This window comes from Homo sapiens, chromosome 11 (genome assembly GCF_000001405.40).
Source record: "Homo sapiens chromosome 11, GRCh38.p14 Primary Assembly".
NCBI lineage: Eukaryota > Metazoa > Chordata > Mammalia > Primates > Hominidae > Homo > Homo sapiens.
Window position 1 is genome coordinate 107499997 of NC_000011.10, and position 24654 is coordinate 107524650.

Below are 24654 nucleotides of genomic sequence, written 5' to 3' on the forward strand. Positions count from 1 at the left end.
GGAAAGATGTTCACCATATCTACCGTGGTTTTGTCATTTATGGATTTGTCTGTTTTTCTTGCAGCTATATCAGTTTTTGCTACATATATTTTGAAACTCTGTTATTAAGAGCATAAAAGAACAAAGCTAGAAGTCTTACACTACCCAGTTCCAAGACTTATTTTTAAGCTACAGTAACCAAAGCAGTGTGGTACTAGCATTAAAAATATTGATACATAGATCAAAAAATAGAGTCCAGAAATATACCCACATATATATGGTCAACTGATTTTCCACCAAGGTGTCAAAGCAATTCATTGAGGAAAAAATAATATTTTCTAAATGATGCTGGAACAACTAGATAGCCACATATAGAAAAAAAAAATGAGCTCATTCCCACCACACATCACAAACAAAATTAATTTGAAATGGATGACAGACCTAAATGTAAGGGCTAAAACTATAAAACTCTGAGATGAGAATACAAGAGAAAATGTTAGCAATTTGGGTTAGGTGAGCATTTTTTAAATAGGACACAAAAATCTCAATCTATAAAATTTTAAAAATTGATAAACTGGACTTCATCAAAATTTAAAATGTTGGCTCTTCAAAAGGCATTGCTAGAAAAATAAAAAGGCAAGCCACAAACTAGGAGAGAATACTTAGAAAATGTATATATAATAAAGCACTTGTATCCAGAATACTTATAGCTTAATAACTCATTAAAAAGGAGACAACTCAATTTTTACAGAATGATAAAATATTTGACCAGGCACTTCACCAAACAAGATACACAAGTGGCAAAATAAGCATATGTAAAAATGCCCCAAATCACTGGTCTTTACGGAAATGCAAAGTAAAAGCATAAAAAGACCATTACACACCAACTAGAATGTCTAAAATTAAAGACTGATGACCTCAAGTGTTGACAAGGATATAGAGTAATTGAATTCTCAAACATTGCTGATGAGAACGCAAACTGGTAGAGGCACTTAGGAATATAGTTTGGCCATATCTTATAAAGTTAAACATAGACTTACCATATGACCCAGGAAGTCAACTCTGAGGTATTTACCCAAGAGAAATGAAAACCTATGTCCATATAAAAGTGTGTTCTCAAATGTTCATAGCAGTTTTTAAAAAACTATTAGTTCTAAACTGGAAGCAATCCAGACTAGAAATGGATAAATAAGTTGTGATATACCTTATAATAGAATACTATTCAGCAATAAAAAGGAACAAACTAATGATATATGCAAGAACATGTATGAATCTCAAAAGCATTGTCCAATGTGAAAAAAGCCAGACAGAACTGTCTACTAAGTATATTCTTCCATTTATATGATATTCTAGAAGAGGCAAAAGTATAGCAATAGAAGGCAGACCAGTCTTTGCCATAGAAGGAGGGGACTGATTGAAAGGGGCAGGAGGAAACTTTTTGGGGTGATGGAAATGTTCTCCATCTTGGCTGTGGTGATGATTACATAACTATATTTGTCAAAACTCATCAAATTGTACAGTTAAAATTGGTTAATGTTATATGCAAATTACACCTCATAAAAGCTGACATAAAAATATTTTTAAACATTTCAACTGTTAATTTAGAACTTTGTTATAAGTTGTTTTAAATTTTGTAGCTTCTAATATAGATACAAAAAGTATAAAAATCATAAGTGTACAACTCAGTGGTTTATCACAAAGCAAACACCATTTTAAATACCACCCAGTGAAAAAAAGAGAACATTGTGAACATCCAAGAAGACCACTCATTGTCTCTAACCAAAAGCATTACTTAGCCTTGTAGAAATATGCTTTGATATTACTGGGTTTTGAACTTTTACCTAAAGGAAATTGTGTAGTAGAGTTAACCTTATCCAAGAGAGGTTGGACCTTTGCCCTGGGTTCCTGGGAGTTGATCTCTAGCCCTTGGAATATGCTGCCTGATAAGCAAATCTGTTTACCTGGGGACTCTGGGCCAAGCAGTATCAGCTTGACTTCCAGAGGGACTGAAGACTAAAAGTCAGCCACATGTGTGGTCAACCATGTCTGTGTGACTGAGTCTCAATAAAAACTCTGAACACTGAGGCTTAGATGAGCTCCCCTGGTTGGCAACACTGCACCTGTATTGTCATACGACATTGCTGGGAGAAGTCAGTTTTGTCCACAATGCCACTGGGAGAGGACAACTGAAAGCTCCATGCATGGAACCCTCCTGGACTGTGCCCCTGCACCTTTTCCATTAGCTGATTTTAATTTGTATCCTTTCATTGTAATAAACTATAACTGCAAGTATAACAGTTTCACAGAGTTCTGTGAGCCCTTCTAGCAAATTATCAAACCTGAGGGTTGTCTTAGGAACCCCAAACTTGCAGTTGGCATCAGAAGTGTGGGTGTTCTTTTGGGGACCCTGAACTTTGTAGTTGGTGTTAGAAGGGTGGTCTTGAGGACTCCTAAACTCTGCAGAAATCATATGGTATTATTTTGTATATGGCTTCCTTTACTCAGCCTTGTTTCTGAAATTCATTTATATTACAGCTTGTAAGTATATTCACTTTAATTGCTTGTGTAGTAATGTACTGTATGAACTGACTATAATTTACTCACTCTACTGTTGATGGACATTTGGACTTTTTCCAGATTTGTACTATTGCTACTGACAACCCTATAGAGAAAAACAGAGAAATCCATCATCATAGTGTCAGATTTTAAAACATCTGTCTCAACTTATAAGAATGAGCAGACCAAAAAAAGTCAGTAAGAATATAGATTTTTATTATACAATTAACAAATTATATTTGGCATCACTTAATACCTAAAACTCCTCTGGGAGTAATAATAATGAACATTTCTCAAAGCCATACTATATTCTTACACTATCCTATGATGTATACAAATATACTTTCAGTGAATTTTCATAACAACTCTTCCAATTTTACAGCTAAGAAAACTGAAGCACAGAAAGTCAAGAAATTTGCCCAAAATCCCACAGCTAATAAATGGCAGATCTAGAATTCAACTCTCAGGAAATCTGATTCTAGAGCCCAGTTCTGAATTCCTATGCTATTTTTCAACATCTTCCATTTTCTCTCCCTTCTTGAGTCAATTTTGGTATTTTTCATCTTCATAGAAAATCATCTATTTCATTTGGATGTTAAAATTTATTGGCATGACTTGACTTCAAACTTTGGTGTCAAGTACCAGAATTTATATCAGAAATAAAACTATTTTTAGCCCTATATTCCTTTTCCTATATCATGAGCCTTATAAATTCATCCCAGAGGGACCAGTACACCAGGATGTTGGACTGAAATTCCATGAAAAAAATAATCATCCTCTCATCTGAGACCCATTATTGATCACTATAGGTTTCTGAAAACTTGATGCTTCAAGATTAAGTATCACTAGCATTAATAACAGTAAACATTAATTAAACAGAAAGCAATTTTTCTTTAAAACAGTCTTAAGCATTACTACTACAAAAGTAATGCATACTGGGAGTAAAGTGTTCAAAAAATTTTTTCTTTGAAAAAAAGCCTTTTCCTTCTATGTGATAATTTGACCTATGGTTGAATTTCTACCTTTGTTCCTCCAGGAAATCTAACCTAAGTGGTAAGTTAACTGGGTTACTATTATGCAATATTGTACAGATCTTAAAAATAACCCGATTGAACCTGGATTGGGACAAACTATGAATCAACTAGAAATAACCAATAATGACACCACAGCTTTGGCTCTAAGGGCACAGTTAGGTCTGAGTGACCACATTCTAACTTTTGTCATTTAAACAAAGGAGTTAAAGGAGCACATTTGGGTTGTTTTTAGCACCCTGCTCAATGAATTTGGAATACCAATTAACTCTTGATAATAAATTAGTCAGGATTAGTAGTTATTTCAGTCACTTAAAAGTAATCTTTTGCTCCAAGGTGAATCGTCTCTCATTTTATGTTTTTCATGGCATTTATCACTATCTGGCACATAGTATCTATTTATTGATTTGCCTGCTGTCTGTCTCCCCGTCTAGAATGTAAGCACCATAAGGGCAAGAGCTTTGCTCTTTCTTATTCACTGCTTCATTATCAGTACTTAAAATAGTAACTGGTACATGGTTGGGTTCAAAAAATAGTTTTTGAATGAAACTCCTACTAAGTTCTGGGTATTATCTGATTGACTAAACGTTATTGGACACCCGCTATACGTCCAGCCCTGGGCTAGTCAGGCATGGAAATAGAATGGTTATTGTCTATGATTTTACAGAGCTAAAAATCATAGGTAAAACTTCAGACAATTTTCTATTGACCAGGACTATTTTCTGTATTAACATATAATTACATCCCTAAAATCCTACATGATTTACTACATTTAGTAGCACTTTACTAAAAAACTATTATCTTCAAAATCCTGGGCTCTTACCCAAGAATTACAAACACTGCACAAACTGCTTCAATCACTTTTAGAAACCACCTCTCCTAGGGAAGTAGGAGGAGCCAACACCACATCTGTGATGTCAGCCAACAGGAGACATTTGAATGTCTCCTAATGAATCCCTACTTCCAAATTTTTCTCAGCTTTCCTTTGGTACTTTCCCACAAGTTTTCTCTTTAATTAAAAGGGTAATTAATTTATTCTCTCTTTTTTTTTAAGTGAGCATTTCTTCTTTATATATGATGTGTTCAGGTAAATAATCAGGCCTTTTGAAGAATCACACACCAGTTTCCTTGATCGTAGTAGCTTTGCAGAATTCTGACATCACTCACAGTCCTGCAGGCACCTTCCAGTTCTCCCTCACGGAACACATGGTAGTAACGATGAAACACAGGACTTGGGTCCTGGGATCCTATGGGACCAAATGGCTCAACAGGTTTGCCTTTATCAGGATTTCCCTTAAGGTGCCAGGGAACCAGTACATCTTGAGAATAAAAAGAAGTCCTGTTAACATGAACAGGCAGCTTGGAATTAGAAACTTGCCTTGAATTACATCCTCCTTCCTGAGAGTCATTAATGCGGGGGACAGAAGATGCCGAGTCTCGACTGCCCATGTCACGCATTTGCTCCACAAGTGACCTCTGCACTGAGGTATCACTGTTCATCTCCTCTTTCTTTCCTTGGCTATTTCTGTTTCCTCTAAGATACTTGGACTTCTGCTTATTATATTCTTGTTCCATTGCCCAGACATAAATGAGTGCCTTCCCACCTGGTCTCAGGAGTCGAACAATTTCTTGGAGAGCTGCCACTCTACGCTCCTAATGAAAAAAAACAAAACACATGATCAACCTGGAAGAGACAGGAAATCAGAAAATAAAACTGACCATAGGACTGTTTTCAATTAGGATGAACAATAAGAATATCTAACAAAATATCTTATGTAAAACAAAAAGGAAAAAAAGAAGAAAGAGCATTCTGTTCTGTGATTAAGAAAAAAAGTGTTCAGGAAGGAGGAAGTACAGAAAAGCAAAATTTATTTCTGTTAATCTTCCCTGTGACTTTTCCTTAACTGTCTGGCTAGGATACATGAAACAACTGATGACTTCTTCTAGGGCTATAAGCGGTAATATGAAGCACTTTGACATTAATCATTTATATAATGCTTTTACAAAGGAATCGTGTCAACTATACTATGGAGACTTCTACTTATAGCCTTGACGAAGTTGTTTGTATTAATTCTCCCACTGAAAACAACCAGAAAGGCTGGGTGAAATACATAAAACAGCTGCTTAAGGCACTGGAGAGTAACACTGCAGGCAGGCCTTGAAGGGCTGTAATCCCTGAGAGAAGGGAAGTAAGCCAAGGTGAGCTCTAGATTCACTCCAGCTTTTCCCTGAGATTATCTGCAAATTCATAATGTGGGACAACAGAATATGAGCAGAATGCAGAGGCCTTAGTGGCCTGAACAGATAGGGCTCAGAGTACAGGGAGGTCAAAGCAGCTGAGGGACAGAGTCACAGATAAAGGAGAAGCTGCAGGAAAATTATTCTGAAAATCTATATGCAAACACCCTTTGAAGCATTTGCCAGTTTCTAAGCAGCATGTACACAGGGTGAAATTCCAAGAAACTCAGCAGAGTAGCAGCTGGGAAGTTAAAATGCTAAACAAAAATTTTAGCAGCCAATGTTAGAGAGACAGACATTGGAATTTAAGATCTGCCAAGGTATAAAATAGCCTTGGAGTACATTCCAGGCTTTCACTTGAGACCCAGAAGGGCTACATTACAGAAGTAGGAACAAAAATAAAATAGATATAAATCATCCCCAATAAAGCATAAAACCAGTTCTCTGCAGAATGAAAGTGATCTGCTTATACTTTATCTGCTTCTCCTTAGAAAAATTTAACTTCCTTCAGAGAAAAAGTACCCAAATCTTTTAACATAAAATGCCCAGCATACAGTGAAAAATTATGAAGTATGTTAAAAATGAGGACCAAAGGACTGAAAAACAGAGAAAAAAAAAAGACCATAGAAATAAATCCCCAGACAAAGCCTTTTTAATAACTATGGTTAGTATGCTCAAAAAACCAGAGGAAAAGATCAAGAATTTCAGTAATGATAAAATACATTAAGAAGTCGGAAATTCTAGAAAACAAGATGAATTTAAATTTTTAGCAAATTAGATACATTTACAAAGATAAGTATTAAACTATAGTTCAAGTCAGTATAAGTTACCCAGATTGAAGCACAGAGATGAAAAAGAGGGGAAAATACAGAAAACAGTGTCAATCGAGAATTTAATACCTACTAAAAATATAATTTGTAAGATGAAGGCAACATAAAGAGGTTTCAGATACACACAAGCTGAGAGAATGTGTCACTAAAGAAAACAGCACAGAGAACTCTTCGAGCAAAAGAAACTTACTTCCTCTGAAACTCTGAAGATGTAGGAGAAAAGGAAGAATACCAGAAAGGGTAAATAAAGTGAAGAAATATAAATGAAGGTTGAGAGCTTAAAACAATAAAACAGTAGCATATAATAATAATGCAATAAAGGGCAGAAGGGGTTAAATGTTATTAATGAAGTCTTACATTGTCAGGAAGGGGTAATCATGCCAATTTAAGGTAGACTATAATGTCAGAGATACATGTTGTCATGTCTAGGGTAACCATTTAAAAAACAATGAAAGAATATCTAGTCAGCAAGCTAACAAAAGAGGAAAAAATGTAATTATAAACTACATTATGGAAATAAGGCTGGCAATGAAAGAGAACTAAGATACATACAATATTTGATAAACAGAAATTAATATTTCCAGTTCCACAGCTCTCTTAGCCTTAGATAATGCCTTCCTTAATTGTCAAAGTAACACACATTGTATTGTACACCCAAGTAGCCCATTCAAAATGGCCAAAAAGCCCAGGAAATAATCTCAGGTTATATGTTAAAATAGGAGGAAGCATCTTCAGCATGACTGATACATAGAGAAGTGAATTAATAGGAGGAAACTTTGTGAGGATTTTTCCAAGTTGGGTTTAAGGAGCTGGGAAATATCGGGAAATTAAGCTAAAAAATAAGACGAGACCATTTTATAAAAATGGTTGAAAAAAAGATTATTAAAATAATAATAACTAATATTTTCTGAGCTCTTATTATGTATAAGACACTATAACAAGTACTTTATGTATTGTCTCATTTATCCTGACAGGCCTGTGAGATTGTTTTACAGTTGAGCAACCTAAGTATTCAGAAATCACTAAAAATGTTTGTTCAAGGTCACAAAAGTAAAAAGAATGTCAAATAGTCGAAGCAGTGGTGTCAGGGAAGAAGAGACTGACACTAGAATGTAAACTGGATTAAAATAGAGATATCCTGGGATCAGTTGAAAAGAACACTGCAGTAGTGAAGGGATGTGGCACAGGTCAGTAGACTCTTTTAATTCCCTTACCTAGTTGTGTCCATATACTTGGATGAGATTTTCCACATAAAATCTTATCTTCTACCCTATATCATCTTTCACAGTGCCATAAAAATGATCTCTATCAGGCATTTATTTCATCAAGGTATTCCCATGTGTTAGACCTTTCAATGACTCTCTAAGTCCAAATTATAACTATGGCATTCAACCAACAACACATAAATCCAACAAATTATAAATAAATAAATAAATGCTGCCTCCTCCACTAAACTATGAGCTCTATGAAGCAGGGACTGGGTCTTCTCCATCTTGTGCCCAGCTATTTGCTTAATAGCAGTGTGTAACTGATTTTCAATGCCTTTTTTTTTTTTTTTTTTGAGATGGAGTCTCTGTCACCCAGGCTGGAGTACAGTGGGCACGATCTCGGCTCACTGCAACTTCCACACCTCCTGGGTTCATGTGATTCTCATGTCTCAGTCTCCTGAGTAGCTGGGATTACAGGCATGCGCCAATCAACCCAGATAACTTTTGTATTTTTAGTAAAGATGAGGTTTTGCTTTGTTGGCCAGTCTGGTCTCAGACTCCTGACCTCAAGTGATCCACTCGCTTTGTCCTTCCAAAGCACTGGGATGACAGGCGTGAGCCACGACAGCTGGCCTCAATGACTTATTTTTATTGTGGTAAAATATATGTAACAAAATTTGCTATTTTAACCATTTTTAAGTGTACAACTGAGTGACATTAAGTACATTCATACTTAATGGTTGTGCAACCATCACTATTATCCATCTCCAGAATTTTTTTCATCATGCCAAACTGAAACTCTGTATCAATTAAATCATAGCAACTCCCATGCCTCCCTCCCACAGCCTCTGGTAACAACTGTTCCACTTTCTGTCTCTATGAATTTAACTATTCTAAGTAGTTCATGTAAGTAGAATGATATAGTATTTGTCCTTTTGCATCTGGCTTATTTCACTTAGCATAATATCCTCAAGGTTCATCCATGTTGTAGCATGTGTCAGAATTTCCTTCCTAAGGCTTAATAATATTCCCTTATAGGTACATAGCATGTTTTGTTTATCTATTCATCCATTAATGAACATTTGAGTTGTTTGCACCTTTTGGCTGTTGTGAATAATGCTGCTATGAACGTAGGTGTATAAATATCTGTTCAAGTCTCTGCTTTCAATTCTTTTGGGTATATATCTAGAAGCAGAATTGCTGAATCATGTGGTAATTCTATGTTCAACTTTTTGAGGAACCACTGTACTGTTTTCCACAGTGGCTGATCCATTTTACATTCCCACCAGCAATGCACAAGAGTTCCAATTTCTCCACATCCTTGCCAACACTTGTTATTTTCTATATTTCCGATAATAGCCATCCTAATGTATGTGAAGTGGTATCTCATTATGGTTTTGATTTGCATTCCCTAATGATTAGTGATGCTGAGTATCTTTTCATGTGCTCATTGGCCATTTGTATATCTTCTTTGGAAAAATGTCTATTTAAGTCCTCTGTCCATTTTTAAATTGTTTTGTTATTGTTGTATTTTTGTTGTTCTTTATATATTATGGATATTAATTCCTTATCAGATATACAATTTGCAAATATTTTCTCCTATTTTGTGGGCTACCTTTTCACTCTGCAGATAGTGTTGTTTGATGTACAAGTTTTTAATTTTGATGGTCTAATTTATCTATTTTTTGTTTTGTTGCCTGTGCTTTTAGTATCATATCCAAGAAATCATTGCCAAATACAACGTCATGAAGGTTTTCCTCCTGTTTTCTTCTTAGAATTTTATAGTTTTAGCTCTTCTGTATAAGTCTTTGATCCATTTTGAGGTTTTTCTTTGCATATGGTGTAATGTAAGGATCCAACTTCATTCTTTTCCATGTGGTCAATGAATTATTTTTTAAATAAATGACAATAGATATGTAGAGAAAGTTGGACATGACAGATTTCTAAGACGATCATATAGAACTTCATAGAGGGGAGGGTATCCAACATATATTTGTGATTGCAAAAAATGGATATAGATATATTTGTGTACATTATTGTCTTTTATAACTTGAAAATAAGTTATAATACAACAACTGAGTTGTAGCTGAAGCAACCAATATGTGCCAAACATTTCTTCCAAATGAAGCGGATTTTTAAATTTACTGGTATAGCTGCTCCTTTCAAGCCTTCCTCTATTTGCAGTCATGCCTCTGAAAGCCACTGAGGCCTAGTGGCTTTTGCTGTAAAAAACCTAATATTGTTTGCTGCAGCCCAGCAGAATCTCTTGGTTACTATTAAAAGTAAAAAGACTAAAGACGCAGACAGTTTTCTGATTTGTTTTGATTTGTTTTGAACTCAGTTAAGGTCATAAGGTCTACTGAAACTGCTGGTGACCCATAAGGTGAGCTATAAAGCTATTGCATAAATCAAGGGAATGACTGCTGACACCCAAGAAAAATAAGTGGTCTTTTGTTCTTTAAAGAAAGAAAGAAAATATTAAATATTAAATTCATTTATTTTAAAACTAAGAACATACTAAGAGTCAACATACTACTACCAGCTAAAAAAGACAGAGTTTTGAAAAAAAAGAACAGGAAAGGAAGAAAAACAGAATGGGAAAGAAGTAACACTCACATGTCAGGGATAAAACTATGGGTTGAGAAAGAAAAGCTGAGAAAGAAATACAGAAGGGACTCATAGAGTCTGAGGAGAGAGTATACTCAAGAAGCTTGGAGCTGATGATCTCAAATTCTCTTCCAGCTAAAATTCTGTGACTCTGGGTTTAAAGGAAGGCATTTAGAAGTGAATGAGACTTGGGGTAGGAAAGGGGCGAAAGCATGCAGCAATAAAGGGTAGAGTCCCATCAGGCCTCTGTTTAAGTAGAAGATACTTAAACAGTTGCCCATCTTTATTCTGCATGCTCTCTTACAAAGAGGGAAAACTGTGACAAGAAAAGAGAACGGAAAGAACTGAAAAGCTAAAACAGGGTCCAAAATCAGCAAAATTCATGAACTCTTCCTGCTGCTTTAGCTACAAGTTCTTAAGAGAAAGAAAGACCATACTTACTGCTGTTGCAAAATGATGAATAACAGCAATGGAGATGCAGGCATCACAAGACCCACTGCGGACTGGTACTGCCAATGCATCACAGACAAAAGCCTGAAATTGCCTCTCTCTACAAATGTCCACAAGGTTTTGGCTACGATCACAACCAATCTGTAACAGAGAAGGAATTCCATAACATTTTGTTTAAATTTCACATGAAATTAAGAACTATGAACTTATTCCATACCTTAAAGTCATTAGACAGATACCATATTCATTGTGAAATGGTCTGAGACCATGATACTATCGGTTCTTACAGCCAGTATAAAATCAGAATATATAATTGTACAGGGCAGCATTTATTACCTTAACAGATATCAAACAGAACTCCAATTAGTGAAACAAAAAGACTGGAATAAAAATGATAGTGGTGGAAATGGGAGGTCCAAATATACAGCTAATTGATGACCATTCTGAATCTGGATGTTTCTGTAATATCACACATTTAAAACTGGAAAGTATCACATAAACACAGACAGTCTTTTAGGGGGAGCTGCAAATAAGATGTTCTAAGATATCTCTCATTACCGTATATACTATATTGTGATGTCCCAGGTAGCAGAAGGATAGGCAATTTTTTTTCTGCTTCTTTATACTTTTCAACATGGATTACTTTTACAATCAGAAAATAAAATCCCCCCCAAAAAAAATCAAAATAATTTTTTTTTGAGATGGAGTTTCGCTCTTGTTGCCCAGGCTGGAGTGCAATGGCGTGATCTCAGCTCATGGCAACCTCCACGTCCTGGGTTCAAGCAATTCTCCTGCCTCAGCCTCCTAAGTAGCTAGGATTACAGGCATGAGCCAACACGCCTGGCTAATTTTTAATTTTTATTAGAGATGGGGTTTCTCCATGTTGGTCAGGCTGGTCTCGAACTCCCATCCTCAGGTGATCTGCCCGCCTCAGCCTCCCAAAGTGCTGGGATTACGGGTGTTAGCCAACACGCCCAGACAATTTTTTTTTTATTTTTTAAAGCTACTCTTTTTCTGCTAAATGTCAAAACTTATCAAGAATAAAGTGCTGAATTCAAAATTTATAAAATGATATTTAATTAAGTCTTTTCATATACCCAAACAATCCTACAGGATTGATGGCATGGTGGGCAGCTAGGAGTATGCTTTTCTCTCCCTCAACAGGTGAGACCTAGCATGCCTTATGTATGCATCTGGTTCTGTGAGAAGTTTTTAGGAGCTGGGATTTCCCATCTTCTTTCTCTTTAGTTTTGTTGTTGTAGTTGTTGTACACAGTTTTGCTGCTTAGTTCTAAGAATATCACATATATATGTAATATACAGACACACACACACACACACATTTTGTAATGTGCCCACATAAATTGGGGAATAAATGGGAGGGGCTTAAGACTTTTTTATTTTAAGGGTTTTTTTTTGTTTGTTTGTTTTGGTTTTGAGACAGGGTCTCACTCTATTACCTAAGCTCGAGTACAGTGGTGCAATCCCAGCCCACGGCAGCCTCCACCTCCCAGGCCCAGGTGATCCTCTTGCCTCAGCCTTCCAAGTAGCTGGGGGTACAGGTGCGTACCACCATGCCCAGCATTTGTTTTATTTTTTGTAGAGATGGGGTTTCACCATGTTGCCTAGGCTGGCCTCAAACTCCTGGGCTCAAGTCATCTGCCCGTCTTGGCCTCCCAAAGTGCTGGGATTACAGGCATGAACCACTGCACCAGGCCACAAGAAATGTTAAGTCACTGATAACTATCCCTGGATAATTTTTTCTTAGCCAAACTCTATAATACAGAAAAGAATTATATAAGCAGATTTAGTCAAACAGAAGTGGCCACCTAAAGTGTATATTTACTCATTTAATTTTTTGATATAATGAGCACTGATCCTAGGGCTGATCCTCAGCCCTTCTGAGAATAAAGACTATGAATGCTCATATCAAAACATGCTGGGATAACTGGCTAGCCATGTGTAGAAGATTGAAACTGTACACCTTCTTTACATTATATATAAAAATCAACACAAGACTGATTAAATGTAAAACCTAAGACTACAAAAACTCTGGAAGATAACCTAGGAAATACCATTCTGGACATAGGCTCTGGCAAAGATTTCATGACAAAGACAACAAAAACAACTGCCACAAAAACAAAAATTGACAAATGGGACCTAATTAAACTAAAGAGCTTCTGCACGGCAAAAGAAACTATCAACAGAGTGAACAGACAACCTACAGAATGGGAGAAAATATTTGCAAACTATGGATCTGACAAAGGTCTAATATGCAGAATCTATAAGGAACTTAAACAAATTAACATGCAAAAAACAATCGGTCCCATTAAAAAGAGGGCAAAGGACATGAACAGATACTTTTCAAAAGACATACACGTGGCCAACAAGCATATGAAAAAAGCTCAACATCAGTAATCATTAGAGAAATGTAAATCAAAACCACAATGAGATACCATCTCAGACCAGTCAGAATGGCTATTTTTAAAAAGTCAAAAAAATAACATGCTGGTGAGGTTGCAGAGAAAAGAGAATTCTTATACACTGCTAGTGGGAATGGGTTCACCCACTGTGGAAAGCAGTTTGGCAATTTCTCAAAGAACTTAAAAGAGAATTACCATTCGACCCAGCAATTCCATTATTGGGTATATATCCAAAGTAATATAAATTGTTCTACCATAAAGACATATGCACTGATATGTTCACTGCAGCATTATTCACAATAGTAATGACATGGAATCAACCTAGGTGCCCATCAAGAGTAGACTGGGTAAACAAATGTGTTACACACTATGGAATACTATACAACCATAAAAAAGAATGAGATCATGTCACTTGCTGTATGCAACATGGATGGACCTGGAGGCCATTACCCTAAGCAAACTGATGCAGGTGCCGAAAACCAAATACTGCATGTTTTCACGTATAAGTAAGAGCTAAATGCTGAGTACACATGGACACGAAGAAGGGAACAAGAGACACTGGGGCCTGCTTAAGGGTCAAAGTGGCGGGGTGGTGTACAGATAAAAAAAACTACCTATCAGGTACTATGCTGACTACCTGGGTGATGAAATAATCTGTACACGGAATCCCTGTGACATACAATTTACCTATATAACAAACCTGCACATGTACGCTTGAACCTAAAATAAAAGTTAAAAAAAAAATTTAATCTGGCCTTTTTTTAGACCAGCAAGCATATATAGATTTCAGGCAGGCTTTTGAAATTTACATGAGTATGCAGTGAAGAATGTAATATTGTCTCTGATACTAAGTAGTGACATTCAATTTACCAAAAAAAACAGTATTTTTATTAAAAGTTCCTTAAAGTGCTATGTTATTAATTCCTTAGAGGAAGAAAAAGATCTTAAAATGAAACATTACATTACAGAGTTTATGTTATAAATTCACAATAAAAGAATGGAAATTAAAAAAAATTCTTACTGAGTTAAATCACATTGCCATACTAGTCATACTTAATGAGTTTGCTCAATTTGTAATCGGTATTAAACAGCTTCTATATTTTATCCTGGAGCTGCTTTAATTTTAAAGTGAAATAAAAGATATCAAGCTAGAGGTAAAGTACAGCTATTTATCTTTAATATATTTTAAGATAAAAAGTACTAAGGGCCTATTAATAACAATAGTGACATGATTCCCAATTAATTGCTCCCTTTACCTGTGTAAGATACATGCCTGGATTCTTACTTATTATTTATTTTCATGCATATTCTATGCCATCAGCCAACAGTCAGAATATCAAGATGACAATACCACTCAAATAATCTGAACATTATATTTTGGTGCTTGCCTCCTTTTTTGTTACATTTAAATTCGGTTCATAGAATTGGAAGTTTCAAGTATGCCCCAACTCTGAAAGATAGCTATACCTTGCTAAAAGTCAACAGAAAGAAATCCAACCTGCCTATTAAAAAAAAAACCTCAGGGATAGGGCTCGATAGTTACTCAAAAGAGGAAAGTTATTACCTGAGAGCCACAGATAAGACAGAACATGGAGAACAACAGCCAAACAAAACAAGAGATTTCCCTCTCCTTGCCAGGCTCTTATAGCTATTTGTACACAGCACTCCTTTTCACCAACAAGAAAGAGCAAGGCCAATTTTAGCAATAAAGCATCAGATCTGATGTAGATTCCCCACTGACCAACGACCTGACTCATGCCTGGCTCAGTACTTTCATCTTTTACTTTTTTTGCCTGTCTTCCATATACTATAGTCATGCAGTCACTATTTTTTCTCCTCTTCCCTCTTTCCATTTTTAAATTTTTTAAACCAAGAATAGTACAGTGTTTGAAAAATCTCCCTAATAATGTTGCATCATGTCAACAGGACAGAAAATGGCTTGATAAAAACCCACATATATTCAAGGACTTGCGTAAAGCTACATATTTCTGTGTGCTGGGTGAAGATCAATGACATTAAAACATATACTGGGCTTAAAATGTATACTCTTTTTTTGGAGACAGGGTCTCACTCTGTCACCCAGGCTGGAGTGCAATGGCACAAACACAGCTCACTGCAGCCTTGGTCTCCTGGACTCAAGTGATCCTCCCACCTCAGCCTCCTGAGTAGCTGGGACTACAGGTGCACGCCATCATGCCTGGCTAATTTTTAAATTTCTTTGCAGAGTCAAGGTCTCACCATGCTGCCCAGGCTGGTCTCCAACTCTTGGTCTCAGGCAGTCTTCCCACCTCGGCCTCTCAAAGTGCTAGGATTACAGGTATGACCCACGGTGCCCAGCCTATACTTTTATATAATTTTTAAAAACCTCAACAAATATTAAATATGTAATTGTGGAAGTACAAGTAAACATAAAAAAAATTCAACCTGATAAGCAAAGGTGCAAACTGAAACAAGGTTCCATTTTTCTTCCATTAAACTATCAAAAATATTTTAAAACTAAAATATACCATGGCAATGTCAGTATGATAGAACTTCCTCTCATACAAAATACAAATTGGCTCAACCATTTAAAAGAGCAATTAGGCAAACCATTTTTTAAGGAAGAAAATAAGGTTTATAATTTTTGACCAATAGTTACCTTTCTAAAAATTTATCCTAAGAAAATAATTCAAAATAGGGAAAACACTAACCAGGCTAATAATAACCACCTTTTCCTGAGTACGCATATAGATTAAAGCAGATTCTTTGTAGCACTGCACTTAAGCCACATAACACACTTGGAGTTAGGTACTATTTTCACCACATTGCAGATGAGAAAACTTCCTTTCAAAGAAAATAAGTAATTTGCTCAAAGTTGAAAGTCGTTAAATGGTGAAACAAAAATTTAAAGCCTGGTATTTCTCATTCCAAAATCCACATTCTTCCTTCTTATCCCATTGACTCTCAATATACATGTTCATTACGGTGTTATTTAGAATACTTCCAAACAGAACACAACCAAATTTCCAGTAACTTCTGCCTAATGGAATATTAATAAAGTCCAAGTCTTTTCAATAAATGGTGTTAGGGAAACTGAATATTCACATGCAGAAGAATGAAATTAAATGCTTATCTCACACCATCTACAAAAATCAACTCAAAATGGATGAAAGGCTTAAATGTAAGACCTGAAATTATGAAACTACTAGAAGAAAACATACAAGAAAAGCTCCATGATCTTGGCCTGGGCAATAATTTTTTGGATATGACCCCAAAAACAAAGTTAACTAAAGCAAAAATATACAAATGGGATTAGATCAAACTAAAAAGCTTTAACTTGAGGAAACAATCATCAGAGGGAAGAGACAACCTACAGAATAGGAGAAAATATTTGCAAACTATACATGTGATAAGGAATTAATATCCAAAATATATCAACAGGCTGGGCACAGTGGTTCACACCTGTAATCCCAACACTTTGGGAGACAAAGGTGGGTGGATCACTGAAGCCCAGGCCTGGATCACTTGAGACCAGCCTGGGCAACATGGCAAAACCTCATCTCTACAAAAAATACAAAAATTAGCTGGGTGTGGTGGTGCATGCCTATAGTGCCAGCTACTAGAGGCTGAGGTGGGAGGATCAATTGAGCCTGCAAGGTCAAGGAGGCTGTAAGCTGTAATCATACCACTGCACTCCAGCCTGGGCAACAGAGCAAGACCTTGTGTCAAAAACAAAACAAAACAAAGCAAAACAAAAACAAAAATATATAAAGAACTCAAAGAACTGTATGGCAACAAAACAGATAATCTGATTTAAAAATTTATATTTCTTTAAAAAAGACATACAAATGGCCAAGTACATGAAACAATGCTGAATATCACTAACCATCAGGAAAATGCAAATTAAAACAATGAGATTTTACCTCACACTTGTTAGATCTGGCCATTATCAAAGAGACAAAAGATAACAAACGGCGTTGAGGATGTGGGGAAAAGGGAATCCTGGCATACTGTTGGTGGGAATGTAAATTAGGACAGCCACTAGGGAAAACAGTATGGAAGCTTCACAGACATATTAAAAATAGAACTACCATATGATCCAGCAATCCCACTGCTAGGTATATATCCAAAGAAAATGAAATCGGTAGGTCAAAGAGATATCTGCACTCCCATGTTTACTGCAACATTATATACAATAGCCAAGATACAGAATCAATCTAAATATCCATCAATGGATGAATACAGTAAACATGGTATATATACCCAATGAATGCTACTTGGCTATAACAAAGAAGAAAATCCTGCCATTCATAACAATATAGGTAAACCTGGAGGACATTAGGTTAAGTGAAATAAGCCAGACACAGAAGGCAAGTATTGCATGATCTCACTCATACTTGGAATCCAAAAATGCGACTTCATAGAACTAGAGTAGAACAGTAGCTACCAGGGACTGAGACAGTTGAAGTATGGGAAGCTGGGGAGATGTTGATCAAAAGATACAAAATTTTAGATAGGAGGAATAAATTCCACAGATCTACTGTACAACATGGTGACTGTAGTTAACAACATGTATTGTATTCTTGAAAAATGCTAGGAGAATGGATGGTAAATGTTCTCCCCACAAAACGGTAACTTTGTGAGGTAATGCATATGTTAATTTGCTAGATTTTGTCAATCCACAATGTATATATACTTTAAAACATCATATCATATACAATAAATACACATAATTTCATCTGTCCTGTAAAGACATTTTTAATAACTTTAATTTAAAAATAAAATACAGAAAAAATACTGTATTATAAAATTCAGAAACATTTTAAGATTATATATCAGAATATAAATGAGATAAATGAGTTATCAAATTATTGCACATTCATTATTATATAAAACATTAATAGGAAAAACATTAGAAGGATATTCATTACAATAAGGTGATAGGATTATGCAAATACCTCTCTTTTCATCAATTTTCTAAATGATAGTTATTTATGTATGTATGTAGGTATTTTTAGACTCAGAGTCTCACTCTGTCACCCAGGCTGAAGTGCAGTGTGCGATTATGGTTCACTGCAGCCCTGAACTCCTGGAGAGCTGGGACTACAGGTGTTGGGAACAGGCCCCCCAAAATCTGGCCATAAACTGGCCCCAAAACTGGCCATAAACAAAATCTCTGCAGCACTGTGACATGTTCATGATGGCCATTATGCCCATGCTGGAAGGTTGTGGGTTTACTGGAATGAGGGCAACAAACACCTGGCCCGCCCAGGGCGGAAAACTGCTTAAAGGCGTTCTTAAACCACAAACAATAGCATGAGCAATCTGTGCATTAAGGGCATGCTCCTGCTGCAGGTAACTACCAGACCCACCCCTTTATTTCGGCCCATCCCTTCGTTTCCCGTAAGGGATACTTTTAGTTAATCCCATTTCCTATAAGGGACACTTTTAGTTAATTGAATATCTATAGAAACAATGCTAATGACTGGCTTGCTGTTAATAAATACGTGGGTAAATCTCTGGGGCTCTCAGCTCTGAAGGCTGTGAGACCCCTGATTTCCCACTTCACACCTCTATATTTGTGTGTGTGTCTTTAATTCCTCTAGCACCACTAGGTTAGGGTCTCTCTGACCAAGCTGGTCTCAGCAACAGGCATGCACCACCATGCCTAGCTACTGTTTTTGTTTTTTAGGAGATGTGATCTTGATATGTTGCCCAGGCTGGTCTTGAACTCCTGGCCTCAAGCGATCCTCCCTCATCACTGGGATTACAGGCATAAGCCACTGTACCCTGCTGGTTATATTTTTTGTTTTGTTTTCTTTTTTTGAGACAGAGTCTCACTCTTATTGCCCAGGCTAGAGTGCAATGGTGGGATCTTGGCTCACTGCAACCTCCGCCTCCCAGGCTCAAGTGATTCTCCTGCCTCAGCCTCCCATGTAGCTAGGATTACAGGCATGCGTCACCATGACTGGCTAATTTTGTATTTTCAGTAGAGATGAGGTTTCTCCACGTTGGTCAGGCTGGTCTCGAACTCTCAACCTCAGGTGATCTGTCCACCTCGGCCTCCCAAAGTGCTGGGATTACAGGCATAAGCCACTGTGCCCAGCCTATTATTTTTATTTTTAAAAATATACAACATTTTTAAAACTATTAAGAAAATATGCAACTGTAGGAAAATCAGACTGGTAATATACAGTTTAAAGTGCAGAGAAATAAACAGAGGCAGTAAAGTACATTGAAAAGAGCATACTACAGGTTGAATATCCCTTATTTCAAATGCTTGGGACCCGAAGTATTTTAGATTTCAGAATTTTTTGGATTTTGGAATATCTGCAGAATACATACTGGTTGAGAGTCCCTAATCTGAAAATCCAAAATCTGAAATCCTCCAATGAACATCTCCTTTGAGCATCATGTTGCTACTCAAAAAGTTTCAGATTTTGTAGCATTCGAGATTTCAAATTTTCGTATTAGGGATGCTAAACCTGTAAACTCTGAATTTGAATTCTGGTTTCAGCAATAACTAGCTGAATAACCTAGGAGAGCTACTTACTATCTCAAAGCCTCTGTTTCCTCATCTAAAAAATAAAGAGAAAAATACCTATTTACCAGGGTTAATATGAGAATCAAATGAAATGATCTATACTAAATATTTAATTAACCATTGAAGTGCTATGCAAATGTTAGTTATTATAACATAAGGAATAAGGAGTACCCTGGATCCTACATAAAAAGAGAAAGCTAGATCCTAAAGGTAATTTTATCCTGCGGTAAGTCCCACCCATTTTGAGGTTGTCACATTCCTCCAAGGCTGCCAGACATAGCACTGTATATATTTTGGTTTTCATGTAAGAAGCTGAAGGTAAATTCACAGGTTTGCTCCTCACCATTCAACAAACCATTAATTAGTAAGCTTCTACCATGTGCCAAGTACCGTATGCCTGGAAATCAGGCAATGCAGTAAGCTCCAGGGAACAACAGACAGGAAAGAATTATGTACGGACTGCTGCTGATAAACTGAGTGAGTGTACTTATGATTTTCTAATCCTTCCAAATATATTCCCTCTGGAATCAGCTGCAGATTGTGTTCGTTTTCTGTTTATCAAGAAATCATTCTTCTCAATTGCAACATAATAATGTTATCACTATGACTAAATCAGTGTATTTGATTTCGACCTAGTTTCACTGTCACAAATGATACCTGACTAGATAAAACCATGGATTATCAACAAGAAAGTGCAAAAGCAGAGCCTACTGAGAAACATTTTTGGACGTATCTTTAGATTAAAACACTAGAAAATATCACCTTGTTTTGAACTGTGGTTTGTTGTGATTTTAAGTGACACAATCAAAGATCTATTTCCTCTTCAACATGAACAAACTTAACTCACTAGGCCTTATTCTTTATAAATTAAAATTTAATTGTAAACATGGTAACAATATATGAATATCAATGTCTTATCTTGATGAAAGGCTATTCTTTTATCCGCCTCTTAATGTACAAACTCTACATTTCCTAAGCTGTAATACAACCAGCCCTCCGAATCTATGAGTTGCACATCCAGGGATTCAAGCAACCCCAGGTCAAAATACTAAAAAAATAAAAATTCCATCTTTACTGAATATGTATAGACTTTTTTCTTGTCATTAGTCCCTAAGCAATACAGTCTAACAACTATTTACACAGCATTTACACTGTATTACATATCATAAGTAATCTATAGATAATTTTAAATATACAGGAGGATATGTATAGGTTATATGCAAATACTACATAATTTTGTATCAGAGACTTGAACTTCTACAGATTTTGGTATCCACAGGGTCCTGGAACTAACTCCCCACAGATACCAAGGGACTAATATACTTATTTTGAGGTATTCTTTGTACTTCCTCAGTAGAATCCTAGGTGATTGTAACTAGAGGCATTTGAGATGTATGGCCCCACAAAGAACAGCCACTGTTGCTCATGTAGGGGTGATAAAAATGTAATCTCTTAGAAGAATGGTATATCACTTTTCTCTTATATGCTAAATCTTTTATGATCATTAAATATGCATTTTATTTATTATTTGATTTAGCTTCAATTTTATATACCAAGGGACAATTGTAGTAACTTTCTTCATGTAGGTGCACAATATCTAGGATGGAGTAAAAATAAAGATGAGAAGTAATCTGACATACTCCAACAACCCAGGAATGTCAGCTGCTCTCGTTCTTTTTACCTACTCCCTTACTCTCATCCTAAATCCCCTAATCTAGAGAAACGGAAGCTCCAGTCCTCACAGAGCAATGTTAAAAAATGATTACTTACAACAATACACTAAAACAAGAATATCCTACTTCTTAGCACAGCAGAAAAAAAATGGCTCATAGAAAAAAATAGTAACTGAAAACAGACATTCTGGAATCAGACAGAAATGGGTTCAAATTCTGGGTCTAGCACTGTAACCTTGGTCAAGTTTTTAATCTGTTTGAGACTTCCTTTCCTCAACAGTAAGATACCAATAAATAGAAAATTTTTTTCTACTATGAATAAAGTTTGGAGTAGAAGATATAGGTTCAAGTTCCAGTTATGTCCCCTAATTATATGACATCAGGAAATTAATATGATCACTGTGAGCCCCAATTTCTTCATTTACAAAAGATGGATGAAAATATCAGCTTTATCTTCTTCATACTTAGGGGGATCCAAGCCAAAAAATGATTTCTATAAAAATCCTTTCTAATCTGTAAAGAGTTTTATAACTATAAGATAGTTTTACTGATAAAATAATATGGTAGAAAGCAAAATCTAAAGGGAGAAAAAAAATTATATAATGATGGTGTGCCCATAAATTCCTAGAGGAATAAGAAAGAATAAAAAAAATCATTAATTTTCAATCTGTTGGTTATAACTTTCTGGCAATGATCTAAAAAAACAGGATTATATCATGAGGAAGAAAGATGATGATAACCACTGCAAATTAAGCAAAAAGAAAGTCAAAAGCAACATTACTTGCCATATATAACTCCTTATTGATGCCAAGATACTTTCCATTACCACATCCAATATCAGCCACTATTGAACCACTTGGCAAAGCCTTCAAAAACTCCACAATGTGCGGCCAAGGGGTATGTCTTGTGCTGCTGAAGTGCCCAGCAATCTCTTCATAAACCTGATGGACGTACTCTTGCTCCAGCCGTGAGGCTTCTTTATCACTCTCTGGAAATGAGGGGGGAGTCTCTTTCCTCTGGCTATCACAGACCAACGGGTAACCTTAATGAAAAAGCAATACACACCTTTCCTTTTTATCAGAATAACTCATAAGGTATCAAGTTTTCTTAAATGAAAAAAAAAAATCAATGCAAATTTGGTGGGTAGACAGACTCTGATTTATCCGTTAAAAGAAAAAGTTCTTCCCTAATAAGTCTACTGAGGACTGCTTGAGTCTGGGGGGCCAAGGCTGCAGTGAGCTATGATCGTGCTATTGCACTCCAGCACAGGTGACAGAGCAAGACGGTCTTTAAAAAAAGACAAAAAAATACCTAGTGTTGGTGTGGATAAGAAGAGAAGGGAGCTCTTGCACACTGTTGGTGGGAATGTAAATTAGAATGGTCATTATGAAAAACAGTACAGAGGTTCTTCAAAAACTTAGAAACAGGGGACTACCTGCCTTCGGGCCCCCTCTCACACAGAACCCACTTCAGGTTCAATCCCCTCTCGTATCAAGAGCTGTTCTGTCACTCAATAAAACCCTTCTCTGCCTTGCTCAAAAAAAAAAAAAAAATTAAAAATAAGTACTATCTTATAAACCAGTAATCCCAGTATGGGGTATATATCCAAAGAAAATGAAATTAGTACGTCAGAAAGACATCTGCACTCACATGTTTACTGCAACACTATTCACAACAGCCAAGACATGGAATCAAAGTGCCTATCAGTGAATGAATGGAAAAAGAAAATATGGTACATATACACAACAGAATACTATTCAGCCACAAACAGAAGGAAATCTTGCCATTTACAACATGGATAAACTTAGAGGATATTATGTTAAGTGAAATAAGCCAGACAGAGAAGGCAAATACTATACAATCTCACTCATATATGGAATCTAAAAAAAAGCTGATCTCACAGAATAGAGAGTAGTAGAATGGTGGTTACCAGGGGCTGGAGCAGTTGGGGTGGGAGCCGGGGAGATGCTAATGAAAGGATACAAAATTTCAGTGAGATAGAATAAGTCCCAGGGATCTAGTGTAAAACATGTGACTATAGTTAATAATAATATATTGTATTCTTGAAAATCACTATGAGAATAAATTCTTTTTTTTTTTTTTTTTTGAGACAGAGTCTCACTCTGTTGGCCAGGCTAGAGTGCAGTGGCATGATATCGGCTCACTGCAACCTCCGCCTCCTGGGTTCAAGTGATTCTCCTGCCTCAGCCTCCCGAGTAGCTGGGATTACAGGCGTGTGCCACCATGCCTGGCCAATTTTTGTATTTTTGGTAGAGACAGGTTTCACCATGTTGGCCAGGCTGGTCTCGAACTCCTGACCTCAGATAATCTGCCCACCTTGGCCTCCCAAAGTGCTGGGATTACAGGTGTGAGCCACCGCACCCAGCCGAGAATAAATTTTTAAGTGTTCTCATCACAAAAAAGTATAAGTATGTGAGGTAATAATACATGTTAATTAGCTCAATTGAGCCATTCCACAATATATATGTATTTTAAAACATCATGTTGTACATGATAAACATTTATAATTTGGGGGGTTTTCTGTTGCTGTTTTTTCGTTTTGAGACAGGGTCTTGCTCTGTCACCCAGGCCACAGTGCAAGTGGCGCGATCATAGCTCACTGCAGCCTCAAACTCCTAGGCTCACACAATCCTCCCGCCTCAGCTTTCCTAGTAACTAGGACTACAGGCACACACCACCATGCCTGTCTAAATTTTGATTTTATTTTTTTGCAGACAGGGGGTCTTCCTATGTTGTCCAAGCTGATTTTGAACTCCTGGCCTCAAGCAATTCTCTTGCCTCAGCCTCCCAAAGTGCTGGGATTACAGGCATGAGCCACTGTGCCAGCCACAATTATTATTCATCTTAAAAAAAAATCTGTAAACTGAATCCCCAATAACAGCTTCTTACATTTAATAAATGCCCATGATAAACATTTGCATAAGAAAACTAGCTTGTCTCTCCAACTACACTTTAAGTTCCTTAAGAACAGGAGCCATGCTTTATTTTTCTATACCATGTAACTCACTATCTGCAATGTTCAATATTCATCAAATAATAAACATTTTAAATTTAACTTTTAAAATTTGATATTTTAAGGCTTCAAGGACACTTTTAGTAAAATAAAAAGCTCTTTT

At 36.4% G+C, this 24654-nt stretch overlaps 1 protein-coding gene across 12 annotated transcripts in view; it reads right to left on the reverse strand.

The window, feature by feature from the left end:
- Nucleotides 1–2730: 2730 nt before the first annotated feature.
- Nucleotides 2731–24654, reverse strand: part of ALKBH8 (alkB homolog 8, tRNA methyltransferase) — a 63009-nt gene continuing 41085 nt past the window's right edge. For 6 of the 12 annotated variants that reach the window (NR_165422.1, NR_165425.1, NR_165423.1 and 3 more), the window contains 3 exons: nt 22303–22559; nt 10891–11040; nt 2731–5219 (listed from right to left, as the gene is read on the reverse strand). Coding sequence is in view for 6 of the 12 variants with exons in the window: in NM_138775.3 (NP_620130.2) it covers nt 4662–5219; nt 10891–11040; nt 22303–22559 (965 nt within the window). In the remaining 6 variants the exon portion in view is untranslated. The other 6 variants (NR_165424.1, NM_001378133.1, NM_001301010.3 and 3 more) reach the window with 5 other exon arrangements.